General features: G+C 48.7%; 1 protein-coding gene and 1 pseudogene across 9 annotated transcripts in view; both read right to left on the bottom strand.

Moving 5' to 3' along the window:
• DRC7 (dynein regulatory complex subunit 7) overlaps positions 1 to 21,228 on the bottom strand; it is a 37,000-nt gene that overhangs the window by 1,321 nt on the left and 14,451 nt on the right. For 6 of the 9 annotated variants that reach the window (XM_047434768.1, XM_047434771.1, NM_001289162.2 and 3 more), the window contains 9 exons: positions 12,010 to 12,138; positions 8,746 to 8,818; positions 7,644 to 7,772; positions 7,355 to 7,483; positions 5,650 to 5,870; positions 4,202 to 4,417; positions 3,543 to 3,653; positions 3,076 to 3,186; positions 1,901 to 2,095 (listed from right to left, as the gene is read on the bottom strand). In XM_047434768.1, the coding sequence (XP_047290724.1) occupies positions 1,901 to 2,095; positions 3,076 to 3,186; positions 3,543 to 3,653; positions 4,202 to 4,417; positions 5,650 to 5,870; positions 7,355 to 7,483; positions 7,644 to 7,772; positions 8,746 to 8,818; positions 12,010 to 12,138 (1,314 nt within the window). The remainder of the gene's footprint in view (positions 1 to 1,900; positions 2,096 to 3,075; positions 3,187 to 3,542; positions 3,654 to 4,201; positions 4,418 to 5,649; positions 5,871 to 7,354; positions 7,484 to 7,643; positions 7,773 to 8,745; positions 8,819 to 12,009; positions 12,139 to 21,228) is intronic. The other 3 variants (XM_047434770.1, XM_047434772.1, XM_047434769.1) reach the window with 1 other exon arrangement.
• MTCH2P3 (MTCH2 pseudogene 3) lies at positions 15,416 to 16,762 on the bottom strand (annotated as a pseudogene).

Here is a 21,228-nt window from a genome sequence, read left to right as displayed (position 1 = left end):
TACCATCTCTCTGTCTACCCAGCCATCTGCCCATCTATTCCTCTGCCCATCCCTCCACCCATCCCTGCCCATCCATCCGTCCATCCGTCCTTCCACTCATCCATCCAACCGTCCATCTATCCACTCGCCCATCCAACCGTCCATCTATCCACTCGCCCATCCATCCATCCATCCATCCACCCACCCACCCATCCACCCACCCACTCATCCATCCACCCACCTACTCACTCACTCATCCACCCATCCATTCATCCATCCATCCATCCACCCATCCATCCATTCATCCATCCACTCACCCACTCTTCCATCCACCCACCTACTCATCCATCCATCCATCCATCCACCCACCCACCCACTCATCCATCCACCCACCCGCTCACTCACTCATCCACCCACCCACTCACCCATCCATCCATCATCCATCCATCCATCCATCCGTCCATCCGTCCTTCCACTCATCCATCCAACTGTCCATCTATCCACTCGCCCATCCAACCGTCCATCTATCCACTCGCCCATCCATCCATCCATCCACCCACCCACCCATCCACCCACCCACTCATCCATCCACCCACCTACTCACTCACTCATCCACCCATCCATTCATCCATCCATCCATCCACCCATCCATCCATTCGTCCATCCACCCACCCACTCGTCCATCCACCCACCTACTCACTCATCCATCCATCCACCCATCCACCCACCCACCCACTCATCCATCCACCCACCTGCTCACTCACTCATCCACCCACCCACTCACCCATCCATCCATCATCCATCCATCCATCCATCCATCCACCCACCCACCCATCCATTCATCCATCCACCCACCCACCCCATCCACCCACTCATCCATCCACCCACCCACTCACTCACCCATCCATCCATCCACCCACCCACTCATCCATCCACCCACCCACTCATCCATCCACCCACCCACTCACTCACCCATCCATCCATCCATCCACCCACCCACTCATCCATCCACCCACCCACTCATCCATCCACCCACCCACTCACTCATCCACCCACCCATCCATCCATCTATCCACCCATCCATCCATTCATCCATCCACCCGCCCACTCATCCATCCACTCACCCATTCATCCATCTGCCCACTCACTCACTCACTCATCCACCCATCCATCCATCCACCCACTCATCCATCCATCCACCCACTCACTCATCCATTCATCCATCCACCCATCCATCCATTCACCCATCTACCCACCCACTCATCTATCCACCCACCCACCCACTCATCCATTCATCCATCCACCCATCCATCCATTCATCCATCTACCCACCCACTCATCCATTCATCCATCCACCCATCCATCCATTCATCCATCTACCCACCCACTCATCCATCCACCCACTCATCCATCCACCTACCCACTCATCCATCCACTCACTCACTCACCCACCCACCCATCCATCCACCCACCTATCCATACCTATACCCATACACCTATCTATCTACTCACCCATCCATTCATCCTCCCATCCATCTATCCATCCATTTATCCACCCATCCACCCACCCATCTGTTCATGCACCCACCCATCCCTCTATCTACCCATCAATCCACCCACCCATCTATCTATTCATCCATCTACCCATGCATTCATCCACCCATCTATCCATCCATCCATCCACCCACCCACCCACCCACCTATCCATACCTACATCCATCCATCCCCCTATCGATTCATCTATCCGATAAACAAGTGTGAGGAGGAACAACTCAGTCATTTGGAAACCCCAAGCATTGACATATTCATCCCGTCATCAGGCCCTCACAAGCCTGTGAGGTAGTGGGCGGACAGCCGTGGGCCCATTTCCTGGATGCAGATGCTGAGATCCCCCCCTCCCCAACAAAGGCCCTGGTGGCACCTTCTCAAAGCGGGCCTGGATGAGGTTGGCCTTGTTGATGAGCCGCTGCTTGAAGTCGCTGAGGCACTCATCCTTGAGGCGCACCGCCTGCCAGCATGTTAGTTTCTCTCCTGGCGGGAGCTGGGCCAGGAATGGGGCCAGGTAGTCCAGCTGGGTCTCCACCTGCCGCAGGTGCTCTTCGTGCATCATGCGCTCCTGTAAAGGTGAGGGGCAGATAGCTGGATCAGCAGGAACTACAGAGACCTCTCCACCAGCTCTGCATCAGCAGTGTGCCAGCACAAAGCCAGACCTCACAGCCAGGTTCCAGTGCATGGCGCCTCCAAGATGGGCCTTAGAAGGGCCCACATGCTGGTCTCTGGACCTGTGTTTACTGGTGACAGCCAACTCTTTTTTTCTTACATGAATTTGTATCTCACTACCTGAGCTTTGGTTTCCTTCTCTGAGGATCTGAGGATCTGACAGGATCATGTCTGTAAAGCACGCAGCCTGATGCCTGACAATCCATAGTAGATGCTTATTCAGTCAACGGTAGTGGTTATTAACGATGTTAGTTAAAAACTGCCAGTAACTCCCTTCACTTTTCTTTTCCACCCTGGGGCCTGTGTCCTCCATCTGCAGACAGGGGGCAGTGAAGTTGGAGACGTGGGGGCTGACACCCTCCCCTGGGATCTGAGAACAGTCATCTGATGCCCATCCTGCCTCACGACCCCCAAACTAAAATCTCAACTTGGTTGGTGAAAGGGATTCAGAAGCCGGCCCTGAAAACCAGGCGGGGCCTTGCAACCTGAAGGTGTAACCTGAATGCCCTCCCTGTGCTGGAGAGCAGGAGAGCTCAGGCCTGGAGCCAGAGGTAGCTCACTGGGGCCACTGGCCCAGGGTGCAACCTCAGTGGGAGCCCTGAGTAGAGGTGGGCACATAATTTTAATTCTTTTCCCAACCACAGGCCTTGGCTTGGCTACAGCCCCTGGGGATGGGGGGAAACCTTGCCCAAATCCCAAGTACTCTTTGGGATGAACCATAGAAATGGTCAGTTCAGCAGCAAGGATGACCGCATGGTATCAATAACCGTATCCCCCACAGAGGGTTTCTCAGCAGAATCCCTCATGGTCCCCACCACCCTGGAGACCAGGGGGGTCTAGGAAAAGCTGGGGCCTGGAGAAGGGATTGGGACTGACCATGGCCTCCCGATATTCCTTGCTCTTCTCATTCCGCTTGGTGTCATAGATGGAGATGGTCAGTGTGTGCGCCGCCTCCTCTTCCTCTCGAAGCTTCAGAATCTCCAGCACCTGAAATGAGAAGTGTTGGAGGGCGTGATGGAGACACCCCTCCTCCACTCCTGTAACCCCAGCACTTTGGGAAGCCAAGGAGGGCAGATTGCATGAATTCAGGAGTTTGAGACCAGCCTGGGCAAAATGGAAAAACCCCATCTGTTAAAAAACAAAAACAAAAACAAGAAATTAGCCAGGCATGGTGGTGTGCGCTAGTGGTCCCAGTTACCTGGGAGGATGAGGTGGGAGGACCACCTGAGCCCGGGATGTAGAGCCATAATTGCGCCACTGCATTCCAGCCTGGGTTATAGAGCGAGACCCTATCTCAAAAACAAAGATACCGCCCACCTGCTCACTCTCCCACAGGACCCTACCTCCAGCTCTGACTCCCAGACCTGATGTCTGGACAGCTTCTCCTCCCTCTTCAGGTGCATCATGGCCTCGTACTGGTAGAGCAGCTTCTTGGTGTGCTCCATGGGCTCCACCTGGGACAACAACCACCTTAGTAACACAGAGAGGCTGCCATGATCGGGGCATAGGACCACCTGGGTTCAAATCTACCCCTGCCACTTTCCAGCTGTGTGACCTCGAGCAAGTTGCTAAACCTCTCTGAGCCTTAATTTTCTCACTTATAAAAATACAGATAATAATAAAAGAGGAACTGAAGACTCAGAAAAGCTGGGGACTGTGCCGGGAGAGTGAGCGTTTGACTAGGAAAGCTAGCCCCTCAGAGGTAGTGAGACTCTTCCCCTCCCACAGAGCCTCCCTAGGATCTGAGGTTTGCCCTGACCAGGACTGCAGAGTCGTCTTAGCCTGCTGAGTTCGCTTTTTTGGTGGAAAAGGAAGATTTTCAGAGGAGCTCAAAGAGAAGGGTCCCCAGATGGGAACTTTTGGTTTTCCCAAAGAGCAAAGATGAATTTCCTCGCCGGGATTCACCAGCGCCCATCCTGGTTCTCCCAAGTGGCTGGAATAAGACAGAGAGCCCCGGTTCCTCCTGCAGCCGACCCCTGCCCGCCGTGGCCCCCAGGCCCACCTCGAAGCTGATGCACATGTCGGGCGTCATGATGATCTTGTTGCCTTTGCTGTCCACCTCGGTGCGCCGCAGGAACTCGCGCTTGGAGGCCGTGATGTGGTCCTCACGGCAGTGGTAGCGCAGCTGGATGCGCTCCTCCGCGACCAGAAACACGCGCTCTGCCACGTCCTCCTCCGCGGGCTTCGCTGGGTTGCGGAAGAACCGCTCTGTGATTTTCTGGGAGGCCAGAACATGCAAAGGATGAGCAAAGGATGAGCGTGTGAGAGGAGATTTCTGTGCATGCCCGCAGGCAGGAGCAACGAACGTTCAGGACACTGGAGTCTGGGGTCGTTTGGCGATTCACGTGGAATAGCCCCTCCTAGCCAGACAATGGATTTCGTGGGTTCTCAGGGCCAGGCCACTCCACTCCCATATGGTGCTGGGCCCCTCCTCAGCTCCTTCAAGACTCTGCTTGCCTACCTCAAGAGATGGGGAGCTCACCACCTCTCCAGGCAGCCTACTCCATTGCTAGACATCCCTTACTGCTAGAAAGAGCTTCTTTGGCATGCTGCCATTACACACAGTTGCCAACTAATTTGTAATGACATGAAGGGGAAAATGCACAATTTCATGTTAAGTGGGTAATACAGGGACTCTAATCCCTGGGTCCCGATCTCAATTACATTAGAAAAAACTCTCAAAACCAAACCTATAATCCGTGGCAACATATGAGAGATGCCATTCTGAGATATGTTTACTTTTCTCTACATTTTTACATATTTTCCAAATGTTTAGTCATGAGTGTGTATTTTTGTATAACAATAAGGAAGTAACACATCCTTGGCCCCATGGCTGAGGGCACAGTCTGACACCAGACAACCCCAGGATGGCGCATTTGGTGATATGGTTTAGTTTCGTGTCCCCCCACCAAAATCTCACCTTGAACTGTAATCCCCATAGGTCAAGGGCGGGACCAGGTGGAGATAATTGAATCATGGAGGTGGTTTCCCCCATGCTATTCTCGTGATAGTGAGTGAGTTCTCCCACGATCTGATGGTTTTATAAGCAGCTTCCCCTTTGCTCAGCACTTATTCTCTCTCCTGCTGCCCTGATTCTAGTGAAAAGGACCCTTTTCACTAGGCAGAAGGTGGAAAGGACCCTTTTCACTAGGCAGAAGGTGAAAAGGACCCTTCTGCCATGATTTTAAGTTTCCTAAGGGCTCCCCAGCCATGCAGAACTGTGAGTCAAGGAAACTTCTTTTCTTTATAAATTACCCAGTCTCAGGTATTTCTTCAAAGCAGCATGAGAACAGACTAATACATTTGGTAAAATGCTTGGTTCATCATTGGTGCCCTTGGATATGTCTCAGGCCTTAATGCCACCCCAGAGCCAGGGCTCTCACCATTCAGAGGTGACATCAGCTGCCAGAGAAGGAGGGCGACCTGTCCCCAGCCCCCGCGAGCTCTTACCACAATGGGCCGGGGGTTTGACTCTGCACTGCTCAGAGTGAGCTTCTTGACTCGGGGTCCGAAGCTGGCATGGCGGTAGGAGAGGAAGTCTGGGCGTCCTTGATAGTACTCTGTCATTGTCCTGGGTGTCTCCTCCCGCTTCATCAGGCCATCCACACGGGCCGTTTCATAAAACTCAATGACACGGTCCATCTCAGGTTGCATGGACTTGTACGAGTGCACTGGGTGGGGAGCGGGAGTTGGGAGGAGACAGCTTCATAAGCACTAGGAAGTATGGCTGCTGGCTTGGTCGCCCAACCCCAGGCCCAGGGAGAAGACAGACCCACATTATGGATGAGGTTAGCTATGAACCAGTCCCCTATTGCTGGGTGTTTAGGTTGCGTACAACTTTTTCTGATTATTACCAACACCATGATGAACATCTGCATCGTGCATTTTTTGTTCTTGTCCATTATTTGCTAAGAATAAATTCTCAGCAGTGGAATTGCTGGGCCCAAAAGTGTACTTTTTTTTTTTTTTTTTTTTTGAGACACAGCCTCGCTCTGTCACCCAGGCTGGAGTGCAGTGGTGTGATCTCAGCTCACCGCAGTCTCCGCCACCTGGGTTCAAGTGACTCTCCTGTCTCAGCCTCCCAAGTAACTGGGACTACAGGCACCTGCCACCACACCTGGCTAATTTTTGTATTTTTAGTAGAAACGGGGTTTCACCATGTTGGCCAGGCTGGTCTCAAACTCCTGACCTCAGGTGATCCACCCAAAGTGCTGTGATTATAGGTGTGCGCCACTGTGCCCAGCCAAAAGCGTACACGTTTTATGGTCATTATCAATATTTTGCCCAACTGTCCTCCAGAAAAGTTCCAATCTGCTGTCCCATCAACAGTGACACAGAGTGACTGTTGCTCCCATACTTGTTCATACCCAGTAGGACCATTTTTTTCATCTTTGCCAACATGGGGGTTATAAGATGGTCCTTTATTGGTTAGGGACCTTATTAGTTTCTTTTTTTTTATTATCAACTTCCAAATGAGGTTGATCATTTAAAAAAAATGTATATTACTCCTATGCTTTTCTTTTGTAAATTTCTTGGTCAGGATTTTTTTTTTTTTCTTGAGACAGGATCTCTATCTGTCACCCAGGCTGGAGTGCAGTGGCATAATCTCGGCTCACTGCAGCCTCGACCTCCTGGGTTCAAGTGATTCTCCTGCCTTAGTCTCCTGAGTAGCTGGGATTACAAGCACATGCCACCATGCCTGGCTAATTTTTATATTTTTTGTAGAGATGGGGTTTCACCATATAGCCCAGGCTGGTCTTGAACCCCTGGGCTCAACTGCCCATGTTGGCCTCCCAAAGCGCTTGGATTACAGGTGTGAGCCCCTGTGTCCGGCACTGCCTCCTTTAAATGTGGCCTCCACCGTGTGACCCCATGGTGAGGTTCCGGCCTGATTCCAACCACAGAACGGGTATGTGGCGCCCCCTTTAGCTTTCCTGGAGGAGCATTTGTTATATTTCCTTAGAATTTCTGAGCTTTCCCTGACCTCCCACACATCGGGTTTGCTGAGGGAGGCAGGGCAGCTTCTACTGCTTGCTGCCCAAGAACCCATGTATAATATGTATGCTGGTTCCTGCCACCACATACCACCTGCCACAGGGTGTGTGAGGCCTCTACCCCAGGCTCCTGGGTGGCCCAGGAAAGGGGAGCCACGCACCGCGCAGAGCCTGGGGGTGGCCAGGCTTGAAGTAGTCTGTCTTCAGGTCTGTGGTCTTGTTTATGTGTTTCAGCTCCAGCATGTCTTCCCGGTTCTGGTACCACTCCTTTATCTCCAAAATATTGGTACCTGTGGGGCCGATGGACACTTGCCGCAGCCAGGCCAGCTCCCCTAGCCTTCAACCCCCCTTATTCCAGGCACACAGAGGCCAGCAATGACCCCAGAGAGAGTAGAAGCCGCCCCCGCCCCTGGGCTGGCCTGGACCCATGTCCAGAGCAATCCCCCTTACACTGCAAGTCCTCATAGGTGGTGAGGCGGCTCACAAGGCCATTGCTATTGAGGTACGGGGCCCACTTCTCCAGCTTTGCCCTCTTGTACTGAATCACCTTCTTCCCGTTCGGGCAGCGGGTCTCAAATGCTGTGGACACAGTCAGCTGTGGTCTCTTCTTGCTAGTTTGGGGGAAGGGAGGGCCAGCCCCGCCCAGCCATTCATCCATCCACTGCCCGTTCTCTGTGTACTGAACTCCTCCAGCCCCAAGCCTGATCCAGGGAGGCCGAGGAGAATAATCACCAGGGGTGGCTCCAGCCCTAGAGGGGTTCTCAGGCCAGGCAGAAGCACAGATCCACCCAAGAATGGGATTTGAGCCCCATCAGAGGGTCTGCCCTGCAGCCAACCACACTCTCACATTGCCAGGCCTTTGCTTGTACAGGTCTCTGCCAGAAACACCGTCATCCCCTCCTCCCCTTGTTGGACTGACTCCTTCAGATCCTTCCAAACTTCACCCAGGTGACCCCTAGCCTACTTCTGGTACCCCTTTCTGCTCACCCATCCCCAGGCCCTAGCCCCAGTGCTGGGCTGGGTGCGCCCCCCTCTGGGTTCCCATGACAGCCTCTCTGGCACTTCCCACCCTGTTGAAGTGGCCCATGCCCTCCCCATAGGTCTGGGTGCTCCCTAGGTGGGCACCAGCAGATATTGACATGGAGCATGACAGTCCCTGCCCTCCTGCCTTCTCTACCTGCCCCTCTCCGGTCCTGAGACCCCCCGCACCATCTGGGCACTGCCCATGGCCTCCTCTGGGTAGAAGAGTGTGAGAGGGGAATGGGCTGGGTTTCCAGGCCTTGCTGTCACCTACACGCCATCATCCCACACATGCTCACTGAACTGCATCGCCCCGTGTGCCAGACTGGTCGTCAGGCCCTCGGGGTCAGAGCTGAGTGCGTGTGGCAGGAAGGGGGGAGGGAGGGAGGGAGGGTGCAGCTGAAGGTGAGAAGGGTGGAAATGTGGGGCATGGCATTCCCTGCTGTGTCCCCCTGCCTCGCTGTTGCAGACCTCTCTGGAGGCCCAGGAACTGGATCTGGAGAGGATAAGTGAATACACAAATAGAAAATACCTTCCGGGGAGATCTCAATCTGCTCCACCCACGAGTGGGGCATGTCGAAGCTCTTATCCTCATCCTCCTTGCCCTGATGGGAGAGAAGGGGGTGGGGGAGGTGGTGCTGGTCAGGGTGTTGAAGCAGAAGTTATGGTCAAAGCTCTGTCTCTGCCTGCAGAGCCAAGCCAAGGTGGTCCGTTGGCTTCCGCAGGGGAACTGGAGGTCATGAGCACGACCCATGATGTGGAAAAGGAGGAGTCGACTCTGGGCAGGGAGCCCTTCCCTATACTTGCCTGGCTTAGGACAGCAGCACCCCCTGCCCTGGCTGCAGGCCCTTCGTGATTAGAGAGGTGTTTCTGGAGTCAGGGTACCCAAGCCCCACCCTCTCTCCAAGACCAGCTAAGGGGTCCTGGGCAAGTCCTTTAACTGCTCTAAGCCTTAGTTTTCTTAACTGTAAACTGGACCTTTTAGGAGGATTAAATGATATAATGTCTGTAAAGGCCTTGGGGCTCTGATTGGCTGACATTATTATTATTATTATCATTTGAGATGGAGTCTTGTTCTGTTGCCCAGGCTGGAGTGCAGTGAATCTTGGCTCACTGAAACCTCCGTCTCCCAGGTTCAAGTGATTCTCCTGCCTCAGCCTCCTGAGTAGCTGGGATTACAGGCATGCACCTACCACACCCAGTTGATTTTTGTATTTTTAGTAGAGACGGCCGGGGGAGGAGGGTGGTGTCTCACCGTGTTGCCCAGGCTGGTCTTGAACTCCTGACCTCAAATGATATGCCCACCTTGGCCTCCCATAGTGCTGGGATTACAGGCATGAGCCACCATGCCCGGCCTATTATTATTTCCTCTCTGAGCCTTAATTTCCCCATTTGTGAAATAAGGCCCGATCTAGATAAATGGTCCTCAAACTAGATAATCACAGAAACTTGGATAAGACTTTCTCGACTTAAAACCTTTTTTCCACAAACATTGCTCATACCTCTGACAACTGTTTATCTAATTGTGACATTTTGCAGGGGACAAAAATGAGTGAGCAGTCAGCAGTTAGTATTGTCAAAAATCTCTAAGATGGTCAGGTGGGTGGGCTGTCACCCGGGGTCTGGTTTTTCCTGGGGGTCCATGACTGGGTTCTGACTCTTTGGGCTGCCCTCTGTCCGTCTTTGCTGTAATGAGGGCTCTTGGGCCAGGGTGGACCAGGACTCTGTGACTGGAACTGTTTGATTATTAGCCATGTGGGTGCTCAGCCGGCTGCCTGCAGGGCTGGGCTCTCAGGCCCTGGCTGGTCCATGCCCCAAGGCCAGCAGGGGGCACCTATGCCTGGATTTACTGCACACAAGATGTCCCCAGTCTCTGGAGATGAGGATGCTGAGAACATTTAGCACCCTTTTGAGATGGTCTACACTGCTGTGCCAAGCACATCACATCAAGCAGCCCCAGGAGGTAGAACAGAGTTACCATTGAGAACCCAGACTGTGGAGCCAGACTGTGTAGGTTCAAATCCCAGCTCTGTCACTTACCAGCTGTATCGCTTTGGGTAAGTGACTTAACCTCTCTGTGTGTGAGTCTTCCCATCGGTAAAATGGGATAATATTAATCACAGGTGGTAATACCAGTGCCCACCTCACCAGGTGGCTGTGGGGATTTAAATGAGTTACTTCAGGTTAAGTAGATACAATGGATCCCAGTGCTTAGTAAGGACCATGTGAGTGCTACCTTTTGCTACGGGCTGAATGGCATCCCCCTAAAATTCATAGGTTGAAGTTTTAAGCCCTGAAAGTGACTGTATTTGTTTTATTTATTTTTCTTATTTTTTCTTTGTTGTTGTTGTTGTCTTGATCACTTACTGTTTGAATGATTGTTTTTAGAGACAGGGTCTTTAGAGAGGTGATTAAGGTAAAATGAGTTCATTAGAGTGGGCCCTAACCCAATATGACTGGTGTTGGTTGGGCATGGTGGCTCATGCCTGTAATACCAACACTTTGGGAGGCCAAGGCAAGGGGATCTCTTGAGCCCAGGAGTTCGAGACCAGCCTAGGTAACATAGCAAGACCATGTCTCTCTGAAAAACAAAAATTAGCTGGGTATGGTGGTGTGTGTCTGTAGTCCCAGCTACTCCAGAGGCCAAAGTGGAAGGATCATTTGAGCCCAGGAGTTCGAGGCTGCAGTGAGCTATGATCGTGCCACTGCACTCCAGCCTGGGCAACAGAGGAGACCCTGTCTCAAAAAAAAATAAAAAGAAAAATGACTGGTGTCCTTATAAGAACAGATTAGGACATAGATTTGTACAGAGGGAAGACAATGTGAAGACAGGGAGAAGACAGCCATCTACAAGCCGAGGACAGGGGGCTCAGAAGGAACCAACCCTGTCCACACCTTGATCTCAGACTTCCAGCCTCCAGAACTGTAAGAAAATTAATTTCTGTCATTTAAGCAACCGCATCTGTGGTGCTTTGTGATGCCAGACGAATGCACTTATTAGAATTACTATGAATACAACTATGATCCTTCTGCCTCCATTTCACATAAAGGCTGAAACTGAATTCAGAGAAGGGAGGCTGGTGATGTGGGTAAGGCCCTGGCCAACGACATTCAGAGGAACTGACAGAACAGACAAGAAAGGCCTGGCAGCATGTGGGGCTCATGATGGCTACTTGGGATAGAACTGAGAACAGCCAGCTCTGGGACTCCCAGGGGGTTGCAGAGCGGGGTGTTATGACCCCGCTCTGCAACTTTCTTTTTCTAAATTTATTTTTATTTTTATTTTTTGTGGTGGGGTGGGGTTGCGCAGGCTGGAATGCAGTGGCATGAACATGGCTCACTGCAGCTTCGGCCTCCCAGTCTCAAGTGATCCTCCTGCCTCAGCCTCCCAAGTAGCTGGGACAACAGGTGCATGCCACCACAGCCAGCTAATTTTTAAATTTTCTTGTAGAGACAGGGTCCCACTATGTTGCCCAGGCTGGCAAGGGACATGCTTTCCAAAGGAGCAGGGCAACTCCTGAACAAGGTGGACGATATGGGGGGCAGAAGACCTGACGTCAAGTCCTGTCCCTTCCGTAACCCACTGGGAGGTCCTGGGTAGGTTTCTGGCCTTTCTGGGCCTCAATGTGCCCATCTGTAAAATAAGGGAATTGCTCAAGCCTTCCTGCTTTGAGGAACCCATCACTGGTCTACTTGGGCCATCCCCCACTGCCACACATATGCTGCTGGGGACACTTGTCAGGCTCCCTGAAGCCTTCACACACATTCCCTGGGCTCTCGAGCTGCTGAGACTCACCAGATTTTCCACATCATCCTCATCGTTTATCCCACTGTCGTCTTCTTCAGTCAAGGACAGCTGAGACTTATCAGTCCCCAGGAGCATGTACTCCCATCTCACAGGGTCACCCAGGTCAAAGATCAAGTCCTGTTGGGGATGAGGGCAGTCAACTGAGTGTACCCCACAGCCACCACGTCCCCACCTGATCCATGGGGAGTTGGGAGATGGCTACTCCGGGGCAGAGAAGGGACCTGGGCCCAGGGCTTGGGGAAGCAGAACGTCAGTCCCAGGTGGCTCTGAGAGTCCATGCCCACACTCCTCATCCCAACAGGGAAACTGAGGCCCCGAGGGGGAGCAGAACTCCCTGCCCATCATTCAGCCTCCCTGTGAGGAAATCTCGTGTTGACCTCTGTGAAAGACAAGGAGGCTCTCTGGCCTGGGCTAGACCTGGATGTGCAGGTCTTTCCGCATCGGCTGGGCAGTGCTTAGAGCCAATGAAAACAAACCAGCAAGATTTGATGGCAGAAGGGTCTAGCAACTCCCAGGAAGTGGAAGGTTTTTTAAAAAGGCTTCCTCCTGTTTATTTTACCCATGCCAGGAACAAGGGAAATAGGCAGGCACACGTGGAAGTTATACATAAGATGCAGGTGGAGAGCCGGGCATGGTGGCTCATGCCTGTAGTTCCAGCACTTTGGGAGGCCAACACAGAAGGATCACTTGAGCCCAGGAGTTCAAGACCAGCCTGGGTAGCAAAGGGAGATCCCATCTCCACAATTTCTTTTCTTTTTTTTTTTTGAGACAGAGTCTCACTCTGTCGCCCAGGCTGGAGTGCAGTGGCGTGATCTCGGCTCACTGCAACCTCTGCCTCCCAGGTTCAAGCGATTTTCCTGCCTCAGCCTCCTGAGTAGCTGGGATTACAGGCACATGCCACCATGCCTGGCTCATTTTTATATTTTTAGTAGAGATGGGGTTTCACCATTTTGGCCAGGCTGGTTTCGAACTCCTGACCTCAAGTGATACGCCTGCCTTGGCCTCCCAAAGTACTGGGATTACAGGCATGAGGCACCGTGCCTGGCCTTTTTTTTTTTTTTTAAGCCAGTGCATGGTGTTATGCACCTGTAGTTCTGACTACTTGGGAGGCTGAGGCAGGAGGATCACTTGATTCCAGGAAGTTGAGGCTGCAGCGAGCTGTGAACACACCACTGTACTCCAGCCTGGGAGACAGAGTAAGACCCTGTCTCTCCAAAAAAAAAAAAAAAACAGCAGGTGGGTGGGAATTTCTCCTCCATGGAGTGTGTCTGCCACCTTCTTTTATTTTTCTTTTCTTTTTTTTTTTGAGACAGGGTCTCCCTCTGTTGCCCAGGCTGGAGTGCAGTGGTATGATCTCGGCTCACTGCAACCTCTATCTCCCCGGTTCAAGTGATTCTCCTACCTCAGTCTCCTGAGTAGCTGGGACTACAAGTGCTCGCCACCACAGCCCAGCTAATTTTTGCATTTTTAGTAGAGACAGGGTTTCACCATGTTGGTCAGGCTGGTCTCAAACTCCTGACCTCTTTTCACCCAGCCCACCTGAGTCCTCAGTCCCCTCAATAAAAGTGGCTCATCTGTCAGATAATTCCTAGAAGGTGGGGAGCACCTCACATTCTAATCAACCTTCCTAGAGCAAGGTGTTCTCCCCACCCTAAATCATGTTCCAGAGGAAATCAGAGGCTGCAGAACAGCTGCCTGGAGGGGTGTTAATATTAAGCTGTCCTGAAGCCAACTCTAAGCCTAGTACTCACTGTCATGTGTGGGTCCTGGGAGGGCTCCTGAGTATTTCTCTGCCCTAGCTCGTGGGTGGAGGGGAGAGAAGTGGGGGGCACAGCAGAGGAGAGTTGGGGAGAGAACTGCTGGTAGATGTCACAGCGACTGTGGCAAAGCTTAATGGGCTTAGTGGATAGGAACCCAATTGTATAGATATTTGCCTTTTTTCACTCTTTTTTTTTTTTTTTCAGATGGAGTCTTGCTCTGTTGCCCAGGCTGGAGTGCAGTGGCATGATCTCGGCTCACTGCAACCTCTGCCTCCTGGGTTCAAGCGATTCTCATGCCTCAGCCTCCTGAGTAGCTGGGATTACAGGTGCCCGCCACCACACCCAGCTAATTTGTGTATTTTTAGTAGAGATAGGGTTTCACCATGTTGGCCAGGCTGGTCTTGAACTCCTGGCCTCAAGTGATCCACCTACCTCGGCCTCTCAAAGTCCTGGGATTAAAGGCGTGAGCCACTGTGCCCGGCCAACCTATTCGCACTCTTGGCCTAAATTTTGTTACTTTTGTAAACCAGTGTAAGCAGTAGTTAGATATTATGCTTTGTTACTTTAACTTAAGTTCTATTTCTTTAGAAAAAGCATAATTGAATGGACAACAGCCACATCCATGTGCCCAGGGTACGTTTGCGCCAGGCAGTCACTCTGTGGATGCCTTGCCATCCTCCTCCAACCCCTCGCTATTTCAAGGTTCTTTGAAGAAACAAAGCAGCTGCTCCAATGTTCGTGTGCTGGTAAAAGTGACAGCCTATGCCATCATCTCTTCCTCATGCCCTCACTTGGCACAGCACTGCCCCTCTGGCCTCACTTCCACCTTCACCTCGGAGCCTGATGGATGAGATGAGGACATTCAGGCTGGAAGAGGGGCTGAAGGACTGTAGCATCCTCTGAAGGGCTGTTATCCTTCAGAGGACACCGACCACCATGGTGCTTATGAGCCCAGGCCCTGGGGGAGGGCAGTGTCGGCTCTGCCCCCTCTGTGTGGCGTGGGAGAAATGATCTCACTTTACTTGGCCTCAGTTTCCTTACCTGTAAGATGGGAGCAACAATAGTTAACATTTATTGAACAGCTAGAGACTATTCTAAGCATCTACTGAGTGTTACTTCCCACAACCCTGGAATCAGTGCCTAAGGGAGGCAGAGTGATGAGAGGCATCTCCTTTGCTGAAGGCAGAAGTTTCTCATCTCAGAGCTTCTGACTTCTTCACAAAGACAGAGCAACCGGCAAAGCAATCATGCATCAAGTCTGCCTGTCTCCCGCAGGGGCTGGCAGTCGCCCCTCTGACACTTATTTACTTATTTATTCATTCCCCAAGACTAAATGACCATTAAAAAAGCAGGTCATCAGGTACAGTGGCTCATGCCTGTAATCCCAACACTTTGGGAGGCCAAGGTGGGCAGATCACTTGAGGTCAGGAGTTCAAGACCAGCCTGGCCAAAATGGTGAAACCCTGTCTCTACTAAAAATACAAAAAAATTAGCCACTTGTGGTAGTGCATGCCTGTAATCCCAGCTACTCAGGAGGCTGAGGTGAGAAGATCACTTGAACCCGGGAGGCGGGGATTGCAGTGTGCCAAGATCGCGCCACTGCACTCCAGCCTGGGTGACAGAGCAAGAGTCTGTCTCAAAAATAAAATAAAATAAAAGTGTGGAAAACTATATAGAAATCAACATTGTCTCCCATAATTTGGTGCATCTGGGACTATAGAAATGTCACTGTCCTGCCCTACATCTTCAAATTAGCATTCTCAGGTCACAACAAGTCTTCCCAAAGGGATGCTTTGGGAAAAACAAGCTATTTCCTCGGCTCATATTTCCCTCTTTTTGTAGCATGCACCAGCAATGTATGCAAGTAGTATATACTGGGAAGGAAGAAGGGGGTCCACCAGCAAGCCCATGGCTGTTGACAGCCATAAGATTAGAGACAAGCACAAAGGGATAGGTCAACATACTGGCAAACAGTGCTGTGACATCTTGAGAATAACTCTTCATACTCTTCATTTCATTCCCGATAGAAACCTCACTGTCCAGTGCATATGTATGTGTGTGTGTGTGTGACAGAGAGAGAGAGACTCTCTCTCTCTGTTGCCCAGGCTGGAGTGCAGTGGCACAATCATGGCTTACTGCACCCTTGACCTCCCGGGCTCAAGCAATCGTCCCACCTCAGCCTCCCTAGTAGCTGGGACTACAGGTGCATGCCATCATGCCTGGCTAATTTTTTTGAATTTTTTTTTATAGAGACGAGGTCTCACTTTGTTGCCCAGGCTTGTCTCAAACTCCTGAGCTCAAGCGATCCTCTCACCTCATCCTCCCAAAGTATCAGGATTACAGGCGTAAGCCGCCATGCCCCACCAGAGTGCATAGGTATTGATGAGGTAGGCCAGTGAGTTACAGAGCCATAAAGAAATGATGTTGCCTAGGAGGTGAGGAATAAGACACATGAGAAATCCTAGGATGCCTTCTTCTCAATAGATGGTTACTATGGAGTCACAAAGTTCACAGTACTTGGACTCTCTGTCAGTGAATTGTACCACAAATCTCAGTAATCATGCAGAAGGGATGTGTGATGGCGGTAGCAACAGAACGAGTGATTATCACTTGAGTTATCTCCATGATAACTCGGTCAAAGGAAGATGAGACAGCTTTCTGTACATTTCCAGGTCCTGACTACTGCAAAACTTGACCATGGACTCCCAGGCAGTTTTGGTGTTAAGCCTGTGAACAACCTGCACCTCCCATCAATGCTGGCAATGTACTGAGTGTAACTAAAGGGACCAGGTAGCTGACCTACTTGCTGCCCCAAAGTATTCTGACCTGTTGTTGCAGGAAGAGGCTCATACACCATGAGGGCAGCTGGGACAGGATGGTGAGACGGGAGTTCAGGAGCAGCAGACTGGCTACGTCCGCCATGCAGATGGACAGACAGTCCAAGCCACCAAACAAATGAGCGAGCCGTTCCTCAGGGTCACCTTAAAAAGGGCCCAAGGGAAACTGGCCTGGTCAGAAACAGAGTGCCTTCGAGACAACGAAAGAGCACTGATAGACATACCCGAGACTGGGTAATTTGCAAAGAAAAAGAGGTTTAATGGACTCACAGTTCTGCAAAGAGGATAACCAATGCTAATACAAATCAAAGCTCCAGTGGCTATATTAATATCAGACAAAATAGACATCAGAATGAAAAATATTACTAGGGATAAAGCTGATTATTTCATACCGATAGAGAGGTTAATTCATCATGAGGACATAACAATCTCAAACATTTACTCATCTAATAGCAGGGCTTCAAAATACATGAAGCAAATACTGATAGAACTGAAAGAAGAAATAGAGAAATCCAAAATTGTAGCCCAACATTTCAATAATGTTGTCAATAATTGAAAGAAATGTAGGCAGAAAATCAGCAAAGATATATAAGATTTGAATAACACTACCAATCAACTTGAGATTATTGACATTTATAGAACATTCCACCCAACAGCAAAATACACATTCTTGTCAAGTACACACAGAAAATTCACTATATTAAGAATTTGGTGAATTTCCTAGACAGACCATATTATGGTCCATAAAACAAACTATAGCAAGTGTAAAATAATAGAAGTCATACCAAGTTATATTCTCTAATCACTACAGAATTAAATTAGAAATCAACAATAGAAATATCTCTAGAGAGTTTCTAAATATCTGTAAACTAAACACATTTTCAAATGGCCCATGAATTAAAGGAGAAATTAAAAGGGAAATTGGAGAGCATATTGAATGGAAAGAAAATGAATACATGATAGAGTAAAATGTGTGGGATGTCACTAAAGTAGTACTTCCGAGAGAAAGAAGGCTTATGTTAGAAAAGAACAGGCTTAGCTGGGCGTGGTGCATGCCTGTAATCTCAGCTACTCAGGAGGCTGAGCCAGGAGAATCGCTTGAACCCAGGAGGTGGAGATTGCAGTGAGTGAAGATCGCGCCATTGCACTCCAGCCTGGGCAACAAGAGCGAAACTCTGTCTCAAAAAAAAAACAAAACAAAAAACAGTCTTAGATGAATCATCTCAGCTTCCACCTTAAGAAACTAGAAAAAAGTAAATGAAGCTCAAAGTAAGCATAAAGTATAAAATAATAAAGATCAGAGTGGACATCAATGAGATAGAAAACAAAAACAACGGAGAAAAACCACAAAACCAAAAACTGGTTTATTGACAATAAGGTGGGACTTACTGACCAGAAGGTGGGACTTGACTTCCAAGCTGGGGGCTCAGACACTGGACCAAATTGAGGACTAGCTAAAACGGGGCCAAGGCAACACCCAGAAATTACACCTTTCCATGGCAATGACAAAGTGAACCAGAGGTTACCACTCTATTTCTAGAAATTTCTGCATAATCTGCCCCTTAATTTGCATATGATTAAAGTGGATATAAATGTGACTGTGGAACTGCCTCTGAGCCGCTACTCTTGAAACCGCCTTTGCACAATTATGACTAAGACACTGAAAGAGATCTCAATCGACTCCATCTTGCTTCTAACCTCCAAGCTGTCCTTGTTCATTCCTAGGTGAAGGCTGAACTAACTTTGGGAGAAACTTAGTTTATTATAGTTTAAAACAAAGGCAATAACAGCCCTTTCCCAAAGCAGACCTCCTTCTTGCTTAGGGACTAGATTAGCTACAAGATTAGAAATTATGGTTTAGGAGTCATGCAGCTGGAGGCTACAAGATTCTGACCCTCCCTAAACTGCTCCTAAGATCAGTGCTTGAGATATTTTGCAGGCCCTACACTTGATGGATCAGATGGCACCACCAGATGGATAAACTGGCTCATCTGATCTTGTGAGCCCCACCCAGGAACCGACTTGGTGCAAGAAGACAGCTTTGACTTTCTGTGATTTCATCTCTGACCAATCAGCACTCCTGGTTCCCTGGCATCCCCCAACCCACCAAGTTGTCCCTAAAAACTCTGCTCCCTGAATGCACGAATGCTCTGGGAGACTGATTTGAGTAATAACAAAACTCTGGTCTCCTACACAGCCTGCTCTGCGTGAATTACTCTTTCTCTATTGCAATTCCCCAGTCTTGAATCAGCTCTGTCTAGGCAGCTGGCAAGGTGAACCCCTTGGGTGGTTACAATCTGGGCACACTGCCTATGGGGTAGCCCTGCTCCACAAGGAGCAGTCCATCTGCTGCTGCCGTACGCTGCCACTTCAAGTAAAGTTGCCTCTAACACCACCAGCTTGCCCTTGAATTCTTTCCTGGAAAAAGCCACGAATCCTCACTGGCAAAGCCCTGATTTTGGGGCCTGCCCCTGCATCAAGAGCAACAAAATTGATAAACCTCTAACCAGATTGATCAGGAGCAAAAGAGAGAACACACAAACTACCAATATTAAGAATGAATGGGGTAATGTCACTAAAGACTTTAACATATTAGAAGGAAAATAAGGAGCTATTTTGAACACTTTCATAACAATAAATTTGAAAACAAATGAAATGGACAAATTTCTTGAAAGATACAAACACCAAACCTCACTCAAAAACAGCTTGAGTCTTCCTATTGAATTTGTACCTTAAAATCCTTCCACAAAGAAAATTCCAGCCCCAGATGGCTTCACTTGTGAAGTCCAGCAAACGTACAAAGGAAATCATGCCAATTCTACAGAAACTCATCCAGAAAACTGAAGAAAAGGGAAACTTCCCAACTCATTCCATGAGGCCAGCATTACTGTGATACCAAAACCTGGCAAATATATTCTAAGAAAACTACAGAACAATATCTCTCTTCAACAAAGATACAGAAATTCTAAGCAAAATTTTCAGTTCAACACCAATAATATATAAAAGATTTAACCATCACAATGAAATGAGGTTTATCCCAGGAAAACCATGGTTAGTCTAACATTCAAAATCAATCCAAGTAACTTACCATGTAGATAAACTAAAAAAGAAAAATCATAATAATCTCAATAGACTCAGAAAAAGTATTTGACAAAAATCTAGCATCTATTTCTGAAAAAACTCTCAGCAAACTAGGACTGGAGAAAAACTTCCTTTATTTGATAATGGGAACCAATAAGAGAAACCTGTGGCTAATACTATACTTAATGGTATCAGACTAAATGCTCTCCGTAAGATCAGGAATAAACAGGTTTGCTTTCATCACTTCTGTTTAACATTTACTGATGATTCCAGCCAGTGTGATAAGGGAAGAAAAGCATCCAGATGGGAAAAGAAGTAAAACTGTTTTTATTCACAGATAACATAATTATCTGTATAAACATTGATGGAATCCACGCAAAGGCTATTAGGGCAAATAAGTGAATTTGGGAAGATTTCAGGATAGAAGATCAATATGTAAAAATCAACTGCATTTCTATTCACTAACAAAGAATAGTCAGAAGGTGAAATTTAAAAAAATCATAGCATCAAAAAGCGAAATATTTAGGAATAAATCTGACAAAAGATGTGCAAGAACTGTACACTGAAACCTACAAAATGTTGCTGATAGAAATTTTAAAAGACTTAAATAACTGAAGAGAGATACCATGGTTCATGGGTGAAAAATTCAATATTGTTAAGAAAACGGTTCTCTCTCAATTGATCTATGGATCCAGTATAATCTCAACCACAATCTTCTTTTTGGGGCCCGGGACAGTGGTTCAAGCCTGTAATCCCAGCACTTTTGGAGGCCAAGGTGGGTGGCTTGCTTGAGACCAACCTGGGCAACATTGCAAAACCCATTTTTTGTCTCTATAAAAAATACAAAAATTAGCTGGGCATAGTGGCACATGCCTGCAGTCTGTAGTCCCAGCTACTCGGGAGGCTGAGGTGGAAGAATTGCTTGAGTCCAGAGGTTGCAGTGAGCCGTGATTGCATCACTGCACTCCAGCCTGGTCAACAAAGGAAGACCCTGTCTCAAAAATAAAAATCTTCTTTTGGGGTGATGAAAAAATTCTGGAATTAGATAGTGGTGATAGTTGCACAATCTTGTAAATATACTAAAAGCCACTAACTTGTGCACTTTAGTGGATTTATGTTATGTCAATTACACCTCAATTTTAAAAAGGGGGGAACACAATCAGTCTAATTTACCACTTAATAGAAGAAAAAATTATGATCATTTAATAGATGAAAAAAACATTTGATATAAACAAATTTTGTTTGATTAAAAAAAAACCTGCTAGTGAACTGAGAAAGAAATCCCTTAGTTAAATAAAGGGTAGCTAGCTATAAAAACCCTACAGTCAAGATAAACATCACACAAATAGTGAAATGTTATGATACTAAGGCGTTACTTGTGAATCAGGACTGAGACAAGGATGTTCAGAATCCCCACTTCAATTTGACATTATACTGGATGTACTAACCAGAGAAATAAAACAAGAAAAAGAAATGAAAAAGTATAAGGATTAAAAATGAAGAAACAAAACGGCCATCATTCAGCTATA

The sequence above is a fragment of the Homo sapiens genome, chromosome 16 (genome assembly GCF_000001405.40).
Source record: "Homo sapiens chromosome 16, GRCh38.p14 Primary Assembly".
In the NCBI taxonomy this organism is placed as follows: domain Eukaryota; kingdom Metazoa; phylum Chordata; class Mammalia; order Primates; family Hominidae; genus Homo; species Homo sapiens.
Note: the sequence above shows the minus strand (reverse complement) of the source record. Positions and strands in the feature narration are given on the sequence as shown.